The 23,572-nt window shown below is 37.2% G+C and overlaps 1 protein-coding gene and 1 pseudogene across 1 annotated transcript in view; both read right to left on the bottom strand.

The window, feature by feature from the left end:
* TSPAN7 (tetraspanin 7) overlaps positions 1-23,572 on the bottom strand; it is a 127,377-nt gene that overhangs the window by 72,698 nt on the left and 31,107 nt on the right. The window lies entirely within an intron of this gene.
* RNU7-7P (RNA, U7 small nuclear 7 pseudogene) lies at positions 7,946-8,003 on the bottom strand (annotated as a pseudogene).

The following is a 23,572-nucleotide window of genomic DNA, read 5'->3' as shown; positions in this document are numbered from 1 at the left end:
GTTGTGAGGCTTTGGTGAGTTAATACACATAAAACTCTTAGAACAGAAGCTAACAAGTACTAAACGCTGTCAATTAGGGCTATGACTATGATCAGAACCCACAATTACACACCAGTTGCCACAGTAGGCCTCTGATGTACATTCTCTCTAAACCTTACAATAGCTACTCAAGCTGCAAATTATCCCCATTTAATGATGCAGAAACAGGCCCAGAGAGGTCAAATGACTTTTCCAAGAATGCAAGGTAGAGACAGGATTGAAACCTAGATCTGACTCTGAAGTCCAGTTTTCTTTCCAGTCATTCTCCCTTGTGCGAGGTTGTCTAGAGTGATGGTGACCCCAAAATCACAAGTCTGCCTTCACAAGGTCTTCTACATTTCTCACGGGATTTGAAATCTGGCTTTGGAATAGCAGATTTTTCTACAATGAGACACCTAAATATTTCTCTTTAGGCAAGAATGGAAGAGATGATATCCCCATGATGAAAAAGTGTTAAAAATAAAATATTTTAATACTTTAAGCATTTTATTCCTCTCAAATAAAATACTCATGGGATATGTTACCCATCATTTTCTTCTCTAGGTAAAAGGTCTAGTTAAATTTGAAAACCAATACAGTAATGCAGTTTATAGAGTGTCCTTGTAATGTTCTTTTAAAAACAAAAAACAAAAAACTGGAGAGGACATTAAAAGACCCCGAATGCACATTTTAAAGCAGCTGAAATTGGTCCAGTGCTCTTTCAATCCCTTTAAATGAAAAGGGTTCTCTCTAAATAAACTAAAAATAATTTGGCTTGACACACTGTATGAAAATGGAACCCCAGCTCATTTCAAGGTTTCATAGGCAGAGGCAGGTTGATATTACTTTGCATTGGGGGAAAAAAAAGCTTATTTTCAGCTATGTGTCAGTATTTTATATTACATTCTTATAGGAAAAGGGCTAGCTATAGTTATGAAAAAGAATATAAACAGAATCTTGTACTTAACTAAGCAGCCATGCTTAGAAAGCTCACTGAAGCTGAAACCTGTTACAAGAATGATAACACCCCTCAACACTCGAGGGGAAAAAAGATTTCATTGTTTAGCAATATTTCTAATACTCTAATATTCAAATCCACCCAGTCCATACTTAAGGCTATAGGCAGCTCTTTAGTGCTGAAAACAAACAGTTTTTGATACATAATTTGGTCTGAACAATTTGGTTTGACAAAGGTTTACAAAAAAAAAAAGAATAAATCTGTAAAGACTCTACAGCTCCCATTTATGGCTGTATTCATTTTGCAAATCAGTGACTCCATACAGTTGCAAAAAAAGCAAAACTCTCAATAGGGAAATGTGATGCTGGTGCTCATGACACTGAATGGGTAATGAGTTACCTAGCCTTGTGGCCATATAGAAAATAAGTCCTTCATTACTGCACAATATCACCCATAAGACACACATTCTACTGGGTGGGCCAGAAAACCATGCATGCTTTGTTCTCCAGATAGACGGCACAACAGTGCCCATGAATGACCTTCAGCCACACATCAAGCTAGCAGGGAGGCAAGAGTCCCTGCAGCTGGGGAAAGCAGGTGCTTCTCACACTTTGTGGGTGCCCCATTCACTTTGTAAATCAAGGTTACACAACTCAAAACATGTCAGAATAGTTTTCTCCTTCAAAGTCCAGTTAACTCATAGAGATCTTAATAGGATTCACAAGCATTATTTCAACTCGGCCCCTGGTGTATGGGAAGAACTGGACTTGGTAAAAACCTTCACAGGGTTTCAAAACACAAATCTTGGACTGCATTCAGATCCCAGTACTGCCACTTTTTAGCAGTGACCTTGGATGCACTGCTTAATCTGAGTTTCAATTTGTCTTTTGTAAACTAAGGATAATATCCATTCTTACTTGCATCTCTACACATGAAAAGAACTCAACAACAGTACCTGGCACAAAGGTGTTCCATAAATGGTCAGAAGCCTTGGGCTTTGGATAGTCAAAAATGTACTGGATTCAATAATGTAAAAAAGAAACAACAGTTCTACCCTTCAGGTTAAGTCGGTGGAAATACATGCATCTAATTTCACTCTCTTGAAACCCCATAAAAAACACGTAAAGGAATTGTTTTTTAAAAGACAAACTCAGGAGAACAGGAGATGGGACAATAGGAACAACATTTTGGAAGCTCCAAAGCAGACAGATGAGTGGTAACCAACTCAGCAGGCAAGGGAAAAAGATGAAAAAAAAAAAGAAAAAAAAAAAACCTCAAACCAGCAGTGACCAAAGCTGAAAATGGGCACAGGGCTCCTCTGAAACTGGGGGATAAGGGGGTCTCAAACGTGCAGAGGCTGGAAAGGAAGGCATCTGAGAAGCTGTTATGTCTAGCTCCCCTTTCCATTCCACAGAGGGACTGCACTTTCCCCAGCCAGGAAAATATCCAAAGGATTATTTCCTAAAGAGGGTAAAACATAGGGTACCTATCCTGGGAGGCATAGTCAGGTCATGAGTATTCTAATGAAAATAGGGTCATTAAGTGACCAAATACACACTGAAGCCTGAATGCAGAGAGACTGCCCTCAAGTCCTCTTTCCCCAAGAAGCTCCCAGACTAAGCACTAGACCTACCCTTCCTGCAGGAGACTTGAAGGCTTCTCTAGGGCATCTAATAACCCAAGGTGAAAGATCTAAAGATATATTGTCATAGGTATTTCCCAACAAATGCCCAACCCAGATCACTCTATAGTGAAAAAAAATTCAACAAGCTCCACCAACCTGCTTAGCTTCAGAGCAGCTTTCTAGTTCCCAAGAAACCAAGGATTACCAGACATCTGAGAAAAGCCTCTACCAAGGAAGACAGATCAAAATAAGCAAACAAAAGAGCACTGGGAACAGAAACTATACACCTAGGAGAAAAATTAAGCAAATATATACCAATGATATCCTTGGAGACATAAGATACTACATCCATAAAATAAGAAAATGATTTTTTTAACCCAGGAAACTAAAGAACCGAAACAAACACTTTTGGAATTGAAAATTATTATGAGAAATCAAAAATAAGAGAAGTGTTAGAAGATATTACTCCAAAATTAGAGCAAATACGAAGAGACGAAAAATAGGAGAAAACAGAAAATCAGATAACTGTTATGGAGATTCCAGCTCCTGAGTGTTAGTTGCAGAATGAAAAGAAAAATGGAGAATAAATGTTTCAAAAATAATTTCCCAAAACTGAAGAATTGAGGTGTCAGAATGAAATGGCACATAGTATGTCATAGAATGCCCAGCATAGTGGATGAAAACAAACCCATGTCATGGCCCATTAGTGTGACATTTCAGATCCTTGGGGACAAAAAGACTTTATAAACTTGCAGAGAGAAAAAGAAATCAGGTCCTAAGTATCCTGTCAGGAATCAGAATGGCTTCATACTTCTCTACAGCAATAGTAGAAACAGAAGACAACAGATCAACGTATTAATTTTCCTTTAGAGCTTTGAATTCTACTCCCAAACTCCCACCACGTATGATAGTAGAATAGACATTTTCAGGTATGCAAGGCCTCGAAAAACTTACCTCCCTTGTACCCTTTCTCACAAAGTTACTGGAAGTGCTCCACTAAAACCAGCAAGCAAAACAGAAGATATAAAAAGAAAAGAAGCTCTGACTCAGGAGAGAGGCCAAGGGAAGCTCCGGATGACAGCTGTGTACTAAAAGAAGACAACCAGTCCAGATTGGTGCAATGTGACTCAAGAGAGGGGCACACTGAGAACTTTCATCACAAGATGCCTGCTGCCGTTAAACCTGAAAACAATGATGGGGTGAGCTGGATGAGGCTTCTTCTGTTTTGCTTTTCCTGGCGTGGGCTGAGGAGATTCCTGTTCTTCTCCACTGCCTGAACCAGCAAAGGACTCTCATTTCACTCCAAGGCAGGCTTCTGAGAACTGGAGGCAGGCATCAAAGAGCTGAAGAGTAGGAAACGCAGAGCAGCCTGTGCCCCCACCACATTCCTGCTGGGCGCTCAGTACCAGTTCCACACTAAGTGTTGTCAAATGTCCTGCCTATCAGGAGACCCATTTTTCCTCAGATTCACTCAAGGCTTTACCCACCAACTTCCCCACAATAAGCTCTGAAAGCAGAAGCCAGATTTCTCCCAGAGACTTGGTGGGCTTTCATCAAACAAAACCAATGTCTCTCTTTCCTTGCACAGCTAGGTTTGTGCTTGCTGCTTGGTTTTCAAAACCATACAATATATTGTTTAGGGATACATACATAACTCTGGATGCTAAAAAGATAAGGAAGAAAATGAGTGACAAGTCAGGGTAGTGGTTATCTCTGGAGGTTATGCAACTGGGAAAGGGAACAGAGGAAAGGTCTTTAAGGAGCTGCTATTTTCCCATTTCTTAAACTGGGGGTGTGGGCCCGTTAGAATTTTAAAATTATTCTTTATATTGTACCTATATCTACTAAACATTCTTTTGTATTTACAATACATTTTGCAATTTATAAGATGATTTGGGTCACAGATTATGTTACAAAGAGTACAAGAATCTATACCATTTGTCTCTGTTGTTCCCCATAACAGCAGTGGACAGTCTGTTCCCACCATCACGATCCTTTAATATGGCCCAAGACAGCAGTCACAGAACAGCAATTCTAGAAGACACTTTATGGCAGGAACAAACAGAAACAAGACCCTCTGTAATTAGCTTTCATATACAGCCATGAGAAATGCCCTAATGCACCTCAACTAGTGGGGATTCCTGCAAGCTGACAGGCTTCTGAAACCGAAGTGTCTAGCCAAAAGAGATTGTTCTCACCATTTCCCCAACGTGACTTAGTCTTGTTTGAACAAACTGGCAATTCCAAAATAAATACCCCAGACAACAGGTTCACTTTCCCAGCATGATTCAGATGAAGCAGCAGAAATGTTTATTGTTAACTACTGACCCATGTTTGGTCAATTTCCTTAAACACTATGTATGCTATGCGCATACCACCATGACTAAAAGTCACTTTTCTTGAAAGGCATCTTGCTATTCGATTTCACTAAGCTGCTCCAACAGAAAAACTCTTTCCAAATTCTCATGTGCTGAATATTTTCCTTACGTGTGTAGTCAAAGAAAGAAAGAAGTCATTCTACAGCATTCACAGAGGACTGAAGATGCAGCCCAAGTCTCATGCTGTTTAGCCATCTGGCTGAGATGCGGCCTGCCTTCCCTACCCACCGATTTTCTCTTACCTCTTTTGGAATTCAACTCAAAATTCAGAGGCAGACAATCGAAAGCAACTGGGCACTGATTTGAGTAAGAGCATTATATTCCACTCACCTGACTAATAAAGTGAAACAGCTGGCTACGTTACATTAACACCAATGGATTTATACCTTGACTTTTCTAAAATATCACTGGAAACAGCATCTTCAGAAAGAATAATTTTTCTCAGACTTAAACTGCCTCCACTTGAAGAAGATTGCTCCATTGTGAATAGGCTCACCTCTGAGAAAACTCAGTGAAGTGTATCAAGACATGGCCACAGTACTCTTTTTCATCAGATGTTTCTGATAAAATATTGGCCATCAATAATGACTCTTCTCCCAGATTAGAGCTTCTCAACCATGGCTGCACACTGGAATCACCTGGGGAGCTTTAAAAACTACTGGTGCTTGGGTCTCACCTTCCAAGAATGAGCTACTAGGTCAGGGATGTGGTCTGGGTTGAGTTTGGAAAGCTCCCCAGGTGATTCTAATGCGCAGTCAAAGGTAAGAAATATGGTCTATTAGAGAATAATAGTGACCAGTTTCCTCCTGTCGAAAATATAAGCTAACATTTCCTAAAAACCATCACTGCTTTAACAGTGTGTATGTTTACATATGCCATGCAGCATAGCTAAGTAATTAAGAGCACAGAATCTTGAGTTAGGCTACCTGGGTTTGACTGCTGGCTTTGCCACTCACTGGCTGAGTGATCTTGGACAACTTATATAACTGCTCTGTGCCTCAGTTTCCTTATCTGTGAAATGGGTTAATATGAATACCCATAGATCACAAAATGGTATTTAATTAGTTGATATTTATAGAATGCTTAAAACAATGGATATGACACAGAACATGTCTTAGTAATGTTTGCTGGATAAACTGTCAAGCCAGTTTCTGTCAAGAACCCCAAATAATACAGAATCAGATACGACTTTCTTTGGAATGCCAATCGTACATTTTTAGTACAAAAATCTCTCAGATTTTTTGTACTACCTCTTATTTTTATAATGGAACTTTATCCAGCTCTGGCCAAAGGGGCATTTTTTGAGGTCCAAGAGGAAAATTTAACATAACCTAGCGACATTTCTTTATTGCTGGGTCCAACCCTCTCTCCAGCATTTCAGACATCCATGTCATTGTTAATAACCTGGTGTGAAATCTGAGCACTATATTTGCAGGAATTGGCAAGAACGGCTTTAGAATTCCAAGTTTTTTATTTTCAAATGAGTATGTAACTGTCTCACCTAGAAGATAAAGGAGTATTTTTTCAAAGAGTTCTCTGTAGCCTTGTAGGAGATAGAGGTCCTTGGATTTTTCTTACTTTAATTATATACATATATATATGTATATATATACACACACACATGTATATACACATATACATATGTATATGTATATATGCTGCATGCCAAGCACCATGCACAGAAATTTATTGATTCAAAAAATATTTAAAACAGGAGATCAAAACTGAATGCAGTCCTAAAATGTGAGAACAGACACTTGGCTGCACAAGCTTTTCAACTACACAGATAAATATAAAATAGTATTTGAGGAAAAATAGTTTCATACACGTAGCTCCTAAACACAGAGGAAGGCTGATGGTAAACATTTCAGAGTCTCTCTGTCTTCCACTAATAATAGAACTGATTTATTATCAAGGCAGTGCAAAAATGCTGCAGAAAGGTTGTGTGAAGAGAGACAGCTCCAAATAATATTGCCCAACACCACTTCAAATTCATTCAGCTTGCCAATGCTTTCATTCAAAAACCAACACTTAAATTCTCTAATGCCACAAAATCGCTTCTTAAAAATAATGAAAGCTCATTTTGAAACATGCAGATTACTCATCAGACACTGCTGAGAGAGTGTGTAAACAGGCTCATTTCTACAGGGCAATTTGGTACTGCATATTAAAAGCATTTACAGTGTTTATCCTCTAACACGGATTTATCCTTAGGAAGTAATGGACACTCATGTGAAAAATGCACGTGCAAGAAAGGTCATCATAACATTGCTTAATAGCAAAAAAGAGCACTGATTACCTAGAGGGTGGTATATTCATACAATGGGGTCCTGTAGCATAGCAAAATATTGAGTGAAATGGGAAAATATCTGCGATAATGTTATCAGGAAAAGGTGGTTAAGTTATTTGGATAGCAGGACTCCATTTTTGTGGGAAATAAGGATATTAATCACTGAAAAAATGTATGGAATGATGCACAGCAAAATGTTAAAGGAAGTTATCTTTGATTAATGGGATTGTGGGACATTTTCTTTCAGGCAGTAATTTTTAATTATTCAATTATGTATGGCTGGCACAATAAAATGAATAAAATAGCTACAATTTTAAAAATAAAATGTAATAAAGATATATTAAATAATACTATGTATATAAAATAAAGAAGGGGAACAGACCACTTTTCAACTTTCCCATATTTCTCAAGAGTTGTCTAAAATAAGTTCAGTAATGGCACCAAGTTACCACATAGTTCTTATCCACTAAGAAATGGCCAGAAAACAAAGGCAGTGGAACTGAACATTTTAAAACCAAATACTGTCTTCTGAAGTGAGGGCTACCCATATTGGATTGGAGTCAGCAGTCAAGTGTTTTAAAACTTTAGGTTCTCAAGACCCTAACTTTGGCACATGCTAACAGTTCAGTTACCTCACCATTTTTCTTTAAAAATATATATATATATTTTTTGGTGGGGGGGCTTTCTGGTAAAAACCGGAAAGCCTGCTAGACAAATTCTAAAAGAGCTGTAACATTACTTTTTTTTATCTTTAAACGGCATCTCAAGAACTCTTCTGGAAGTGTGAATTGCCCAAAGGAAACAGATGTTTAAAGGAACTGAAAGCTTAAGTGTCCCCAATTTACTTCGACTTATTTCTTACCACACTGCCACCGCCCTCCCCTTTGCTTTATTTCTCCAGTTCTCCCATATTTCCTAAAGGCTGGGGTCCTTCCCTACCAGGGACCAGGCTGAATCAGGAAAGATTCAAGGGAATCTAGGGTTTGGGGGTGCCCGGGAAACAGCTTTGAAGCCATTCAATACTCATTTGGTAATCTTAATTCTAACTCAGAATTGTTTCTTCTCTTTCCCACCTTTTTTTTTTTTTTTTCCTCAAGGCTAAAACTAGACCCGAGACCAGTCTTTCTGCAGACACTAAACATAGCCATGTTTTGGTTTCTGCAGAATCAGGAAGAAGGTGAGTCCTAAAAATGGTTGGGCAAGTTCAATCGTCAGTGCTCACCTTTGGTCTCACACAGATGCCTCAGATGTCAGAATATGAAATCACAGAATTATAGAAAATTAGAGTTGAAAGTGGCTTTCTAAATATTATAGATGAATGCTACGAAAAGTGTGCTCACTGGTCTACCAGCAGCAGTACTGCTTGGGTGCTTGTTAGAATTGCAGATTCTCCAGTCCCACCACAAGTCCACTCAATCAGCAGCTCTGCGTGTGGGGTCCGGGTACCTGCATGTTTACTAGCTCTCCAGGTGCTTGAGGCTCACCTAAGTGAAAACTACTATTATAGAGTAAGAAGCTGAAGCACAGTGAGAGTATCATTTATCTTCACAAAACGAGAGAGAGGAAAAAAAAGCAGTGAGACATCTAAATAAAGCTACACTATTTTTCTGTTTCAAGATCTGCAATGCTGTACCTGCAGGTCTCTGGATTATCTTTCATTTCTAGTTGTCTTTTCGTTTTTACATCACTACCCTTGGAGAAACTGTGGCAACCATTACAGAGCAGCCCAGTGCAGTCTCTGGAGCATGAAGGAGCATTTAATTCAAACTCTTTTTACAAATCACTAGATTAATGAAATTCATCATACATGCGAGTTCTGGGGTGTCGACTGCATGCAAATCATATCTAACAAGCTAAGCGCAGACTTCTAAAGTAGTTCCCAGAAAATCAGAGCAGCAAATGCCAGAATAGGAACTTGACTATATATTAATGTAAAAGAAGAACTAGAGTCCCTTATCTTATTTTCTCAGGCTGTCCTTCTCCACATCCACACCAAGACTCAGAGAGGAGCTCTGAAATGTAGGGAGTTCTAGCTCACAAAATAATTTACATTTCCAAAAGATCATTTCTAAATCCTTTGTTTGAAAGCTGGACACATTTCCTCATTAAACAATGTTATAAGTGGTCTTAAATGTCCAATCAAAATAGATTTACAATGAAATTGGCATTATAAAAAATCTAATCATTTAAAAATACTTCCTCTGGAAAAAAGTTCAAGCTCCAATTTAGGTGTAACTTCACAAAGGGGGCCCCATTAGGCATGGGGATCACAGCAGTAGCTTCTGGTGATGCAGAAATGTTGGGGGTGGGTGTCTGGTGTTGCATTCATCACTTCCAGGTTGTAAATCACCAATATTATGGACTTAAGATTCAGGATCCCAAGACAAAAAGATCACACTTACTACATCAGCTACTATCCTAGAAAACTCTGACCTAATACCTTAAAGAAGGCTGTAGCTCTGGCTCGTCTGGGCACCAAGACCAAAGTCAACTGATGTCTTGTTTTTATTATCTTTTACATTTTCCAACTCTTTCACCCCCCAAGTTGGGCTAGGTCCTGCCTCTTTGTAACTCTAGTCTCCACTTAATGTTACATAAAATATATTAATGTCTTAAGAATTTAATATTTTTCAAAGGAATTAGTCTAATTTCTACTCCCTTTTAAAATATTAAATTCATTTAAGAAGTGTCTGTTCATGTCCTTTGCCCACTTTTTGATGGGGTTGTTTGTTTTTTTCTTGTAAATTTGTTGGAGTTCATTGTAGATTCTGGATATTAGCCCTTTGTCAGATGAGTAGGTTGTGAAAATTTTCTCCCATTTTGTAGGTTGCCTGTTCACTCTGATGGTAGTTTCTTTTGCTGTGCAGAAGCTCTTTAGTTTAATTAGATCCCTTTTGTCAATTTTGGCTTTTGTTGCCATTGCTTTTGGTGTTTTAGACATGAAGTCCTTGCCCATGCCTATGTCCTGAATGGTAATGCCTAGGTTTTCTTCTAGGGTTTTTATGGTTTTAGGTCTAACGTTTAAGTCTTTAATCCATCTTGAATTAATTTTTGTATAAGGTGTAAGGAAGGGATCCAGTTTCAGCTTTCTACATATGGCTAGCCAGTTTTCCCAGCACCATTTATTAAATAGGGAATCCTTTCCACATTGCTTGTTTTTGTCAGGTTTGTCAAAGATCAGATAGTTGTAGATATGCGGCGTTATTTCTGAGGGCTCTGTTCTGTTCCATTGATCTATATCTCTGTTTTGGTACTAGTACCATGCTGTTTTGGTTACTGTAGCCTTGTAGTATAGTTTGAAGTCAGGTAGTGTGATGCCTCCAGCTTTGTTCTTTTGGCTTAGGATTGACTTGGCGATGCGGGCTCTTTTTTGGTTCCATATGAACTTTAAAGTAGTTTTTTCCAATTCTGTGAAGAAAGTCATTGGTAGCTTGATGGGGATGGCATTGAATCTATAAATTACCTTGGGCAGTATGGCCATTTTCACGATATTGATTCTTCCTACACATGAGCATATAATGTTCTTCCATTTGTTTGTATCCTCTTTTACTTCCTTGAGCAGTGGTTTGTAGTTCTCCTTGAAGAGGTCCTTCACATCCCTTGTAAGTTGGATTCCTAGGTATTTTATTCTCTTTGAAGCAATTGTGAATGGGAGTTCACTCATGATTTGGCTCTCTGTTTGTCTGTTATCGGTGTATAAGAATGCTTGTGATTTTTGCACATTGATTTTGTATCCTGAGACTTTGCTGAAGTTGCTTATCAGCTTAAGGAGATTTTGGGCTGAGACAATGGGGTTTTCTAGATATACAATCATGTCGTCTGCAAACAGGGACAATTTGACTTCCTCTTTTCCTAATTGAATACCCTTTATTTCCTTCTCCTGCCTAATTGCCCCGGCCAGAACTTCCAACACTATGTTGAATAGGAGTGGTGAGAGAGGGCATCCTTGTCTTGTGCCAGTTTTCAAAGGGAATGCATCCAGTTTTTGCCCATTCAGTATGATATTGGCTGCGGGTTTGTCATAGATAGCTCTTATTATTTTGAGATACGTCCCATCAATACCTAATTTATTGAGAATTTTTAGCATGAAGGGTTGTTGAATTTTGTCAAAGGCCTTTTCTGCATCTATTGAGATAATCATGTGGTTTTTGTCTTTGGTTCTGTTTATATGCTGGATTACATTTATTGATTTGTGTATATTGAACCAGCCTTGCATCCCAGGGATGAAGCCCACTTGATCATGGTGGATAAGCTTTTTGATGTGCTGCTGGATTCGGTTTGCCAGTATCCATTTACGCAGCCAAAAAACACATGAAAAAATGCTCACCATCACTGGCCATCAGAGAAATGCAAATCAAAACCACAATGAGATACCATCTCACACCAGTTAGAATGGCAATCATTAAAAAGTCAGGAAACAGGTGCTAGAGAGGATGTGGAGAAATAGGAACACTTTTACACTGTTGGTGGGACTGTAAACTAGTTCAACCCTTGTGGAAGTCAGTGTGGCGATTCCTCAGGGATCTAGAACTAGAAATACCATTTGACCCAGCCATCCCATTACTGGGTATATACCCAAAGGACTATATATCATGCTGCTATAAAGACACATGCACACGTATGTTTATTGCAGCACTATTCACAATAGCAAAGACTTGGAACCAACCCAAATGTCCAACAATGATAGACTGGATTAAGAAAATGTGGCACATATACACCATGGAATACTATGCAGCCATAAAAAATGATGAGTTCATGTCCTTTGTAGGGACATGGATGAAATTGGAAATCATCATTCTTAGTAAACTATCGCAAGAACAAAAAACCAAACACCGCATATTCTCACTCATAGGTGGGAATTGAACAATGAGAACACATGGACACAGGAAGGGGAACATCACACTCTGGGGACTGTTGTGGGGTGGGGGGAGGGGGGAGGGATAGCATTAGGAGATATACCTAATGCTAAATGACGAGTTAATGGGTGCAGCACACCAGCATGGCACAGGTATACATATGTAACTAACCCGCAAATTGTGCACATGTACCCTAAAACTTAAAGTATAATAATAATAAAATAAAAAATAAATAAATAAATAAATAAAAATACAAAAGAAAAACAACAAAAAAATAAATAAAATATTAAATTCATAAGACACTATTTTTATGTAACATTAAAGAAACCCTACATACCTTAACTGTTGCTCCCAAATCACTCCATATCCTCCAGTCCTAGGCAAATACTAATTTACTTTCTGGCTCTACAGATTTGCTTATTCTGGATCATTTTATACAAATGGAATCATATAATATGTGATCTTTTGTGACTGGCTCATCCATGATATAGCATGAATCAGTACTTCATCCCTTTTAATTTCCAAATAATATTCCATTGTATGGATATATCACATTTTATTTATCCATTTATCAGTTGATGGACATTTGGGTTGTTTCCACTTCTGAGCTATTATGAATAATGTGCCTAAATGCCCATTTATACACAAGTGTTTGTAAGGAAATATGTTTTCAACTCTATTGGGTATATACTTAGGAGTGAAATTACTGGATCACATGGTAACTCTATGTTTAACCACTTAAGGAAATGTCAGACTGTTTCCCAAAGTGTCTGCAGCATTTTACATTCCCACCAGCGATGTATTAGGGTTCCAACTTTTCTACATCCTTGCCAACACTTCTTTTTTATTATAGACATTCTAGTGAGCATTAAGTGGTATTTCATTGTAGTTTTGATTTGCATTTTCCTAATGGTTAATATCATGCGTTTTTCATGTGTTTATTGACCTTTTGTATACTTGCTTTAGAGAAATGTCTATTTAGATTCTTTGCCCATTTTTTAATTATTTGCCTTTTAAATATTGACTTGTAAGAATTCTTCATATATTGTTGATACAAGCCCCTTTTCAGATATATGATTTGCAAAAGTTTTTCCCATTTTGTGGGTTGTAACATCCACTTTTTTGCTTATCACACAGAATGTGTCTGTCTGAATAGTTCGGTAGTACAGAATATCCACTTATTCCCGAATACTCAGCTCAAGGGGTTGCAGTCACACACTAGCTGGCTTTCTCACTGCTTAGTCCCACCTAAGGACCTTGTCATTACTCTTCCCTCAGCCTGGAACACTTCTGGAGCACATGGCCTGTGCTCTCACTGCATTGAAGCCTTGCTTCAATGTTACCACCTTTGAGAGACCTTCCCTGCCCGTTTTCTCTAAAATTGCAACTCCTCCCGCCCACCTCTCCATTCTCTTACCCTGCTTTTATATTATGTAAGTGCAAAGAAAATATATCAAGAATTGAGATTTGTCAGAAACTTTTGTTTGCCTTTCTTTGACTACTGGTTAAATTGAATGTTTTCTTGGATGTTTATTGGCAGCCATGTGCATATTTATATTTCTTCTTTGTAAATATCCCATTCATGACCTTTGTTGATTTTTCTATTGGCATATTTGTCTTTCTTGTTAATTGTTAGGAATACTATGCCTTTGTCTATTATCAATAATTTTCCCAGCTTGTGTTTTCCTTGTTTATTCATGCTGTTTGCCATATGAGAGTTCATTTTTATGGAGACTAGTCTATTTATATTTATTCATTGCCTTTGATGCATTCTTTTTCCAGGAATAAAAAAAGTGATTAGGTATTATACTTAAAACACTTATCATAACAATCCCTTTGTCATACTGCCCTATGATTTCTCATTCAGAAAGCACATACATCATACTACTGCAGAAACTTGGTTTTCCTTCATGCTCAGCTCTCATACCTCATCACAGCAACTAGTAGAGTTGCTTTCATTATATTAAAAGCATTTAGCAACTAAAAGGTCCACTGTGGGAGATGACTACATTAACAACCCCAGTAAGTCACACTTCCCCATATCTAAGCCCTTGTGTAGTCTTCCCTCCCACAATGACACTGGGCTTGGTGATGTGACTTGCTTTGGTCAGTGAGACATGGGCCAATGTTATGTAGACAGAAGCATCAAGACTGCTTGTTCATTATTCCTGAGAACTCATCTGCTATGATGTGAAAAGCTTAGGCTGGCCTCCTGGAAGATGGGAGAGAATGTAGTGTGCCACCCCAGCTAAGGTCCAAATGCATGAGGAGGGCTAGATGACACCATGTGGAACAGAGATGGGCCATCCCAGCTGAGTCAAGCCCATACTACCAACTTGCCTAATTGTGAACAAATAAATTATTGTCTTCAGCTGCGAAGTTTGGGGATGGATTTTTATACAACAATAGCTAATCATTCCCTTACCAGTAGATGTATCTTATAATTCAGTTCAATGAAGTGCTATGTGGCCAGTATATCTTTCAAAACACACACAAAAACATAAAACATTTTTATGCTGGGTTAGAGGAAAAACATGGAGGATAAATATTTGTGTCAATGGGGATAAATTAAATGGTAGATGGTTTATGCCAATTTCCATAATTACTGATTGCATTTATATTTATTTCATGTAAATTTTACAAGGTTTTAAATGGAAATTCTTTTAGTAAAACAGCCTTTAAGATCCATCTGTAGAGTATCTATTCTGGGTCTTCTCCCACAACTATACTTACCCCATGGCAGGGACCACAGTCTCTACCATTGTGTTCTTAGAAATTACTCCCTTGACTCTTGTTTGAGCAGTTTTATGTGATTATCTAAGTCTCAAAATAATATCATCCTATCTGTATGATATACCCTACATGATATGTACTTCCAGAAAGCGAAGTATCCCTGCTTACTAATTAACAACTGCATATTTTCACATCCAGTTTCCACGCCTGTTTCAGAATATCATGGTCTTCTATACTCTACCTTGTAGTATTGATCCCTGTGCTGAGGTATTCATGAAGGGATACCTTCTGCAAAAGAGACTTGGGAAGGGCAGACCAACGTCTACTCAAGGGACTTCCCTATATGAAGGGAAATTTATAGAATTCAATCTAATGTGTACATAATGCTGGCTGATTCCTTGGATGATGGTGTTCATGAGGTCACAGTTTGGCTTAAACAGACAAATTAGCCTATTTCATGAAAACACCACTCCCACCTTCTCAAAAAATCTTGTTCTAAAGCCACAGTTCATTCAAAGCCCTGGGTATGTGATTTTGAAAGAGAGGTGCTAATGTAATGCCCATTGCTATTAGAAAGAATATAAAGCAGCCTTCCTGCTTATTGGAAGAAAAGAACATCACTTTTTGTTAGAAACTGCCCAAATTCAATCAAGCAATAAGTCTATGACACTTGCTAGCTATGTAGGCAAGAGAAATGAGGCTTGGAAAACAAAAAACATTGCTAAATTATACCCTCTCATCCCTCCTATTTATAGGTTGTCAAATTGTAAGATTCCACTCTTAGCTGGGCTGGACAGATGAGACAGAAACAGCATATCTCTGGAAGTGACAAACAGCTGGCAGAGCTTACGTGCTTCCCTTGCTGATAGAAGAAACAGAACAAAGGGCCAAAGAAGTGAATGGCAGTCAGTAAGCCCGAAGTGAGATGCTTTTCACAAGTGGGCCTTCCATTTCTGTGCTTTACAAAAAAAGAATGTAGGGGGTTGGGGAGAAAAACAAGATCAAGGGAAACTTAAGACCCTTTGTATGTTTAGGCTTTCCAGCTGGGTACACAGCTCACCCAAATATCTATCCTCTCCTGCTGTTACTAAAAATATATGGAACAGCTCTTCCAGGAGGAAAACGGTCACATATCACCAAGGAGACAGGAAGATACTCATGATATGGTTTTTAAAATGACTTGAGAATCCAAGCAACCCTTGATTCCTCTCTCTGGACTCTGCCAAGAGGGTAACTAAAGTTTCTGCCTAAAAAGAGATTTTCTTCTCAGATAGAATTTTGTCTGTTCACATCTGATACTGGGAATCAGCTGAAATCTAAAGTGCCTTAAAACTAGTTCATTGTGAAGGCAGACATTCTGGCAGGAAAACTAGAAAATGCTGCCACCAAAATAAATGCACATTGTCTTGCACCAACTGCTACTAGAAAGAGATTTCAAGGATTCTAGCAGAAAAGAGAGGATTGACAAGAAATTGAGCATGGGAGTGCTATTGGGAGAAATGTAAAACAAAATCATTTTCAAATGAAGGGTATTTCTCACAAAATTGGAAGGCAAAGCTTTCTTTCTATGATATGCAACATGGAAGAAACAGGATGCATATTTTTCTCACAAGTCTCGCACAGTTGCTTTTCTTTGAATAATGCCCTTTGCTTGCTTCCTGCTGCCAAGAAAATGTAGGGCAAGCTAATACAAGCACTGCAAAATGGGGGACTCCATTAAACCTGATTGCAATTCATCTCCACATCCCCAGTACTTGATTGACTCAAAAAAGGCTGGCTATTTGTGTGATTTTCCCATTATTTTCTCATTTTCATAATGCCTATTGTCTTTGAATTCACCATTAATATTACATTTTATATTTGGTCATTTTGTTCCCCTTCTTTCCCATACAAAATATGTACAATTCTTACATATGTGCTTAATTCACATTCAAGAGAGGATAAAGGGGTGGAGGCTCCCCTAAAATTTCCAAATAAGATTTTTTTTTAAATAAGTGTGGAACTTGGGTGAAGAGAATTAGATAAATCCTATTAATCAAAATCCTTGATTCATGAGGACTCATCATGGCATTCTTGTGTTTATTATATTAATATGCACATACACACATGAACCCACTACCCAAAAGAGACTAGAACATGGATAATAACTTACATCTCCCTATGTAGTGATCTCCATTTCCTTCCCCTGCCTCCCTCATCCCAGGATAGCCACTATTAAGAACCATGTGTTGTGTTGATCTTTGATATATTCCTGTCATGCAATCCTGGGTGACTTACTTTAACTTAATAAGATTCATCCGCAGTGTTGTGTATTGCAATAATTCATTCATTTCTACTGCTGTATACTACTCATTGTATGAATCAGGGAAAGCAGAAAGTAAAATTTAGAGTATGAATACTTCATTGCATTAATTTATTTTACCTTTGTTACTTCTTAAGCAGACAAATGTTATATGAAGCATCACTTGTTTTAAAACAATTGACCATATATAACAAGTTGCTACTGTGTTTATTGTACTTTATAACTAATTTCTTCACTTTCCTTTTTTCATATTTTCCAAAATTGAATGCTCATTATGGGTTCTATACTGGGTTTTCTTAAAGATTAGTGATATTAGAACTGGTGCAGATTAGGGCTGCCAATCCAAAGTCAGTTTGTTATAACAGTAGTCAAATTAGACTCACCCCCAAATTCTAATTTATTCAACATTTCCAGTGATCTCATGGCCAGAAACTCCTATAAAAGATATAAGGCATTAGTGACACCAAGCTGAACAAAACCATTCCTTTTCCTCAAAGTTCTCACTGCCTAATGGAGGGGGGAAATAATAATTTTAAAAATCTACAATAATACAAGAGGTAATTGCAGAGTCTTAGCCCAGGAATCAACTTCCTGGTAGAAGAAGAAGAAAAAAAGGGTATACTAAACAGAGGGACATTATGCAAAGGCACAGAGGTGGGAGAGTTATCAAGTGATCAGAGGTCTCCAAGCACGGTGGTAAGAAAATCAAGAGTTAAAACTTAGAGCATCTTGAACTTTGTCCCAAAGCAACTTTATCCCAGGGAGCCACATAGAGATTTCACAGAGAGGAGGGATAGGATCAGATTTACTATACTACAAAATGGGTGGCACTAGAGAGTGGGCTATGGGTAAGAACAGTTAGAATACTAGTCTATGATCCAAGCAATACGTGATGTGGACCTGGACTGAAGCAGCTGCATGGATCATGGATACAGGAGAGGAGGACACAGATTTCTGTGATATTTATGCAGCAAAGTTGACCAAAAAGAAGACACAGACTCAACAAAAAATGAGCTTAACATACACATTGGTGGTCTAAAAGTAACTGCAGTACAATTGTTTCAAGTGCCATGCCTAAAAGAATAAAAAGTTGCCCATAGGAAGAGAAAAGCCTCTCTGGAATATCGCTTCCATCCCAAGAAACCTTCCAAATACTGAAGTATGTTTTCATAAATTACCAGTTATTATTATTTGAAATTATACTCACAGAATACAACCCCAAAATTTCTTATAACAAGCTAATCTTGTTATCACCCACAGAAGAGAAAATGTGACACCCAGTTGAAATCTTAGTCTAATTGTGTTTTAAACATATAGTTCATTCTCAATATTCACAGCACTTATGTTTTATGAAGTCACCACAAAGACTGAATTAACAAATACTGAACCATTGCTCCTAGGGGAAATACAGGAGTAAGTTCCTACAAGCCTCTGGTCACAACATTTTTGTTACCTAATCAATACATAACCTTGTTTTATATGTGTTTGTTTAAAGACACTGTACTTAACATATATTTTTGGTTCATTATCATTAACTCGCAGCCAACACTGCTCTAACTCATACCCAAAGGAAGCTCATCTAATACACAAATTTTCTCTGTAAGGCACATCGCAGGCTTCTTGTGCTTAGGAACACTGAACAGCCCTTCAGCACTATAGTTAAAGACCACCTTAAACACCAAAATCAACAACATAAAGCACAAAAATCAGGAAAAACACAGCACTAAATAGATTACAAAAAAAAATACTTGTTTATAGTATGAGAGCTGAAATAAGAAAGTAGAGCATTGCCTTGTTTGACTTTAACAGGGAATGTGCATGTCAGGTGACTCAAATTTTTTCACTTCTCTGTGCATGTCTGTGAGTGACAGCAAAAGCACCAGAAGTACCGATTTGGGGGTTACAAATAGTAATAGATTCTAGCAAGTCAGCAAATTTGCAAATATAGAATCCACAAATTATGAGAATTGACTATATTTCCAAGAGATCATGTCCTACCTTGAGGCCTCAAAAAGCACTTTCGTAGGTGGACAGAGAAAGTCAGTAACAATGCCAAACTTTTAGTTATGTTCTTTTCCAGAATGAGTTCAAAAGTGTCTCTCAGACTTCATATCAAGATGACCCCTTTGCTCATCTTCCATGAGCCTGGAAAAAGCTCAGTTTTAAATCAGGTTTTAAATATAAGAAGACCAAAGCTTTGAAAAATTGAGCAGCAAGTTCTTATTTCAGAAAAAAAGAATGAAAAGGACCAGGAATGAATTCTAGATGGCCTGATTCCTAAACACCTAAACAAATGTCCCATCTTCTGTGGTAGTGCTTCTCAAACTTTAGTGTGCCCGTGAATCCCCTGGGAACTTGTGAATAATGTAACTTCTGGTTCAGAAGGTCTGAGGTGAGACCTGAGGATTCTGCATTTCTAACTAGCACCCAGATGATGCTGATGTTGCACAGACTTCGGGTAGCAAGGGTGTAGATCACAAGCTCCCCCAAGAAATTTATCAGCCTCAATATAGACCTACGTCCAATAGATGATAATTACTTAGATTTTAAAAAGCACTTCAGTTTAAGGTTATATATTAGATACTAAAAAGTAAGTAAACTTTCAGAATATCAACAGTTCCACATATAAAGCAGTCTAGAAGTGACAATGCCATTGATTTTACTGCCTAAGTCTATTAGTGTTGTATGGAAAATAAAACAAAGTAATTAGGATCTCAATACTGCTTTCCAAATAGAATCTCAGGTTTGGGAGTATTTTTCTCTTCTCTCAACTGACCATTAGCAGCATTAAGGAAGTAAAGAAACAGTCATCTGAAAGATACAGAATGCTTCACTTGCAGGCAACTGACACACAAGTGGGCAAAGTACCACTTGTCCATTTTAACATGCAGATAAGGGAAGCTGTTATCTGCAGATAAAGGCATTTGCTTCTCATTGCCTCTATGCTCTTACCCCCAGATACACAGAATACATCAAAGACTACTTTGTGAAATAAAGGGCAGTAGAAGCACAGATCACACAACCTGTCATTTTGGAAGGAAATCTGGCACTAAAGAGCCAGCAAGAAGAGCAGTTTGATGCAAATGCCCCAGTGGAAATTTGATTTTTAAGATATAATTCAGAGGAACGTTAGTCTCCCACAAAGATTTGTAGAGCTACAAAAATAACCACAAACCAGATAAAAAGAAGACTGTGTTCACTACTACTGCAGAGGGGCAGACAATTGTAGAAGGCAGAAAGTAAGAAAGGCCTCTGGGACACTCAAGACTGATTCTTTCAGGCCACTGATTCCAACTTGATAGTTTGTGTTTAATAATTTAAATTTAACAATTCAAAGTTCCATTTGAAACCAAACATAGGGTTCTTCACCACTTGAGCAAGTCTGATTTTCCATGCTACTTGAGGACTGTTCATAGCTGTTTTATTTTCCTTATACCAATTTTATTTCAGTACACATGGTACCAGTTGCAATTAAGGAGAAAAAATAACTGTCTTCATTTGACTTCTTCTCACTAATGTAACCTTGTTTTTGTTGTATTTTTAAATCTGACAACAAAAAGGCAAAATGCAGATAATTATACTTCAAATGAGGACATCACATCTTAGCTCAAGCTATGAATTGAGAACATTTCAGAACATATGTAATGAGTTATATGAAAAGAAATGATTAAAGAAAGAGCAGAGATGATAGTAAAAATGTAATGCTCAAGGGATAAAAGTTAGATATTAGGAGGAGTGTACTTGAAACAATAGACACATTGGAAAATGTCCTCATCTATATTCCTGTACAAATTTGTTTTTGCTTTGCTCAAAACCATAGGAGAAAAGAAATGCAAAGAAAAGTTGTTATTTTCTGATACACATCAGAAATTCTTCAAGCAAATGGAGGGACAAAAAGAACTATTTGTCCCAGGAATCCCACTTTTAGGAATCTGCACTAAGAAAGCACCCCCAATAAAAAAATACATATGTACAAGATTATTCGTTAAAAATAGTTTGCAATTACAAAATATTGGAAGCAACCTAAATGTCCATAAATAGGAGAATGGTTAACTATGATACAGTTACATGATGGAGTACCAAGCTGCTATAAAAAAAAGGAAGAGGAAGATCTCTATAAACTGATATGAAATGATTTGTAGGATAAACTGTTAGAAGTAAAAAAGGCAAAATACAGACTTTAAGTGTCCTCACCGCCACCCACTCCATGCATGCACAAAATGGTAACTCTGAGCGATAATGGATATGTTAATTAATTTGACCATGGCAATCATTATACAATGACACAGATATGAAATCATCACATTGTTTGCTTCGAATATAGACAATTTTTACTTGCATAAAAACAAATTTTATTGTATTTCTATAAATGTGTAAACATTTTTAAAAAGCAAAGTGCAAAAAAGTATCTGTAGTATGCTACCCTTCATTTAAGAATGAAAACATTCATGTATCTTCTCATTTGTGCAAAATAAATACATTAAGAATAAACCAGAAACTAAAGATATTGGTATCTAAGGCAATAGAGAAAGGGATGAAAAAGCAAGGGGATGGGAAGGGGTGCTAAGAACAAAAAGGAAATGTCACTTCTGTGTATACTGTTTTGTATAGCCCTGACTCTGAGAAGCATTGTCATGTTTAATGTACTGAAAATATAAGTCAGTAATAAAATCACCCAGTGTGTTTGGGGGAAGGGGACAAAATGGAATATAAACACTAACAAAGAACCTAATTATATCACAAGTGAATAATGTAACCATAATGAAGAGAGTGGGGAAGAAAAGAACTAACCTTATTAACTGTATAAAACAGCATCATGACTGGCTACTGGCTACTGCATTTTAAGACAAAAACAAAAACAAAAAAACAAAAAACAAACAAACAAAAAAACAGTACCCAGAACTACTCTAGTTAGTAAATGTGTTTCTTACAAGGGTACAGGTTAGCAGTTCTGAAAATACTCCATGTCTACAAGGATTAAAGAAATACAGACACATGTTTACATATATTGTAGATAATGAAAACCAGGTTTCTCACTATCAGAGAAAGAAGGCTATAATGAACCATGTGGTATTAGATTAGAATCAGAGGTTTCAGTATGAACTCATAGTTTTTATAGATGAATGAATAGATGGACAGATAAATAGATGGATAGAAAAAGAGAAACTCAGAAAATGTTTTAGTTCATTTTGTGCTGCTATAGCAGAAAACCTGAGACTGTATAATTTATAAAAAACATAAACTTATTTTCTCACATTTCTGGAGGCTGGGAAATCCAAGATTAAGGTGCTGGAATCTGGCAAGGGCCTTCTTGCTGTGTCATCCCATGGCAAAGGGCAAAGAGAAGGCAAGAGAGAGCCAAAAGGAAGCAACACCCATCCTCTTGTAAGAAACCCACTTTTGAAATAACAAACCCATTCTTGCAATAACAGCATTAATCCATTTATGGGGGCAGAGCTCTCATAGCCTAATCACCTCTTAAGGGTCCCACTTCTTAATACTGAATGACAATTAAATTTCAACATGAGTTTCGGAGGGGACAAACTTTTAAAACATAGCAGATAAATATAGACGTGTGTTTGCACAGTTATTACACTCAAGTATATTTCCTAGCTGTTGCTAGGGCCAAGAAGCAATGACACTCCAGTGGCAACAAACATACCTAGCACCCAGCCCCTAGTTTCTAAATACCATCCTTCCATAAAAGGAACCACAAAAGGGTGGGATAGAAAAAATATTTATAGAATTAATGGTCAGAATTTTCTAAATTTTATGCAAACAATAAGCCCACATATTCAAGAAGCTCAACAAACCCCAAGCAAAACATGAACTATACCAAGATATATTATTAAAAAATTGCTAAAAATCATTAAGAAAAAAAATTAAAAACCACCAGAGGGGAAAAAAAGTTACATATGGAAGAACAAAGATAAGGATGACATACTTCTCATTAGAAACAATATAAGCAAAAAAATCTAGGAGAAACATCTTTAAAATACAAAAATAAAAACAACTATCAACCTAGAATCTATACTAGCAAAAATATCTTTCAAAAACAAAGGTAAAGATTTTTTCAGATATATAAAAGCTGAAAAAATTATCAGTGAATCATAAAATATGTTAAAATAAGTTGTTCAAGAAGAAAGAAAATGATATTAGATATAAATATGGGTCTATGTAAAGGAATGAAGGGCACTGAAATAACTGCTTGGGAAAATATAAAATTATTTTTTCTTATTTAAATATCTAAAATATAACTGACTACACAAAAATAACAATGGAGTGTGGTGGTACCCCATAAGTACATACACCTACAATGTACCCACAAAAATTAAAAAGAAATAAAAATAAAATGTATTAAACAATAGAAAAAAAGGCTAGGAATGGAGAAATGGCTGTATTTTATACTATCA

This window comes from Homo sapiens, chromosome X, assembly GCF_000001405.40.
Source record: "Homo sapiens chromosome X, GRCh38.p14 Primary Assembly".
Taxonomy (NCBI): domain Eukaryota; kingdom Metazoa; phylum Chordata; class Mammalia; order Primates; family Hominidae; genus Homo; species Homo sapiens.
This window is presented reverse-complemented; position numbering and strand designations above follow the sequence as displayed.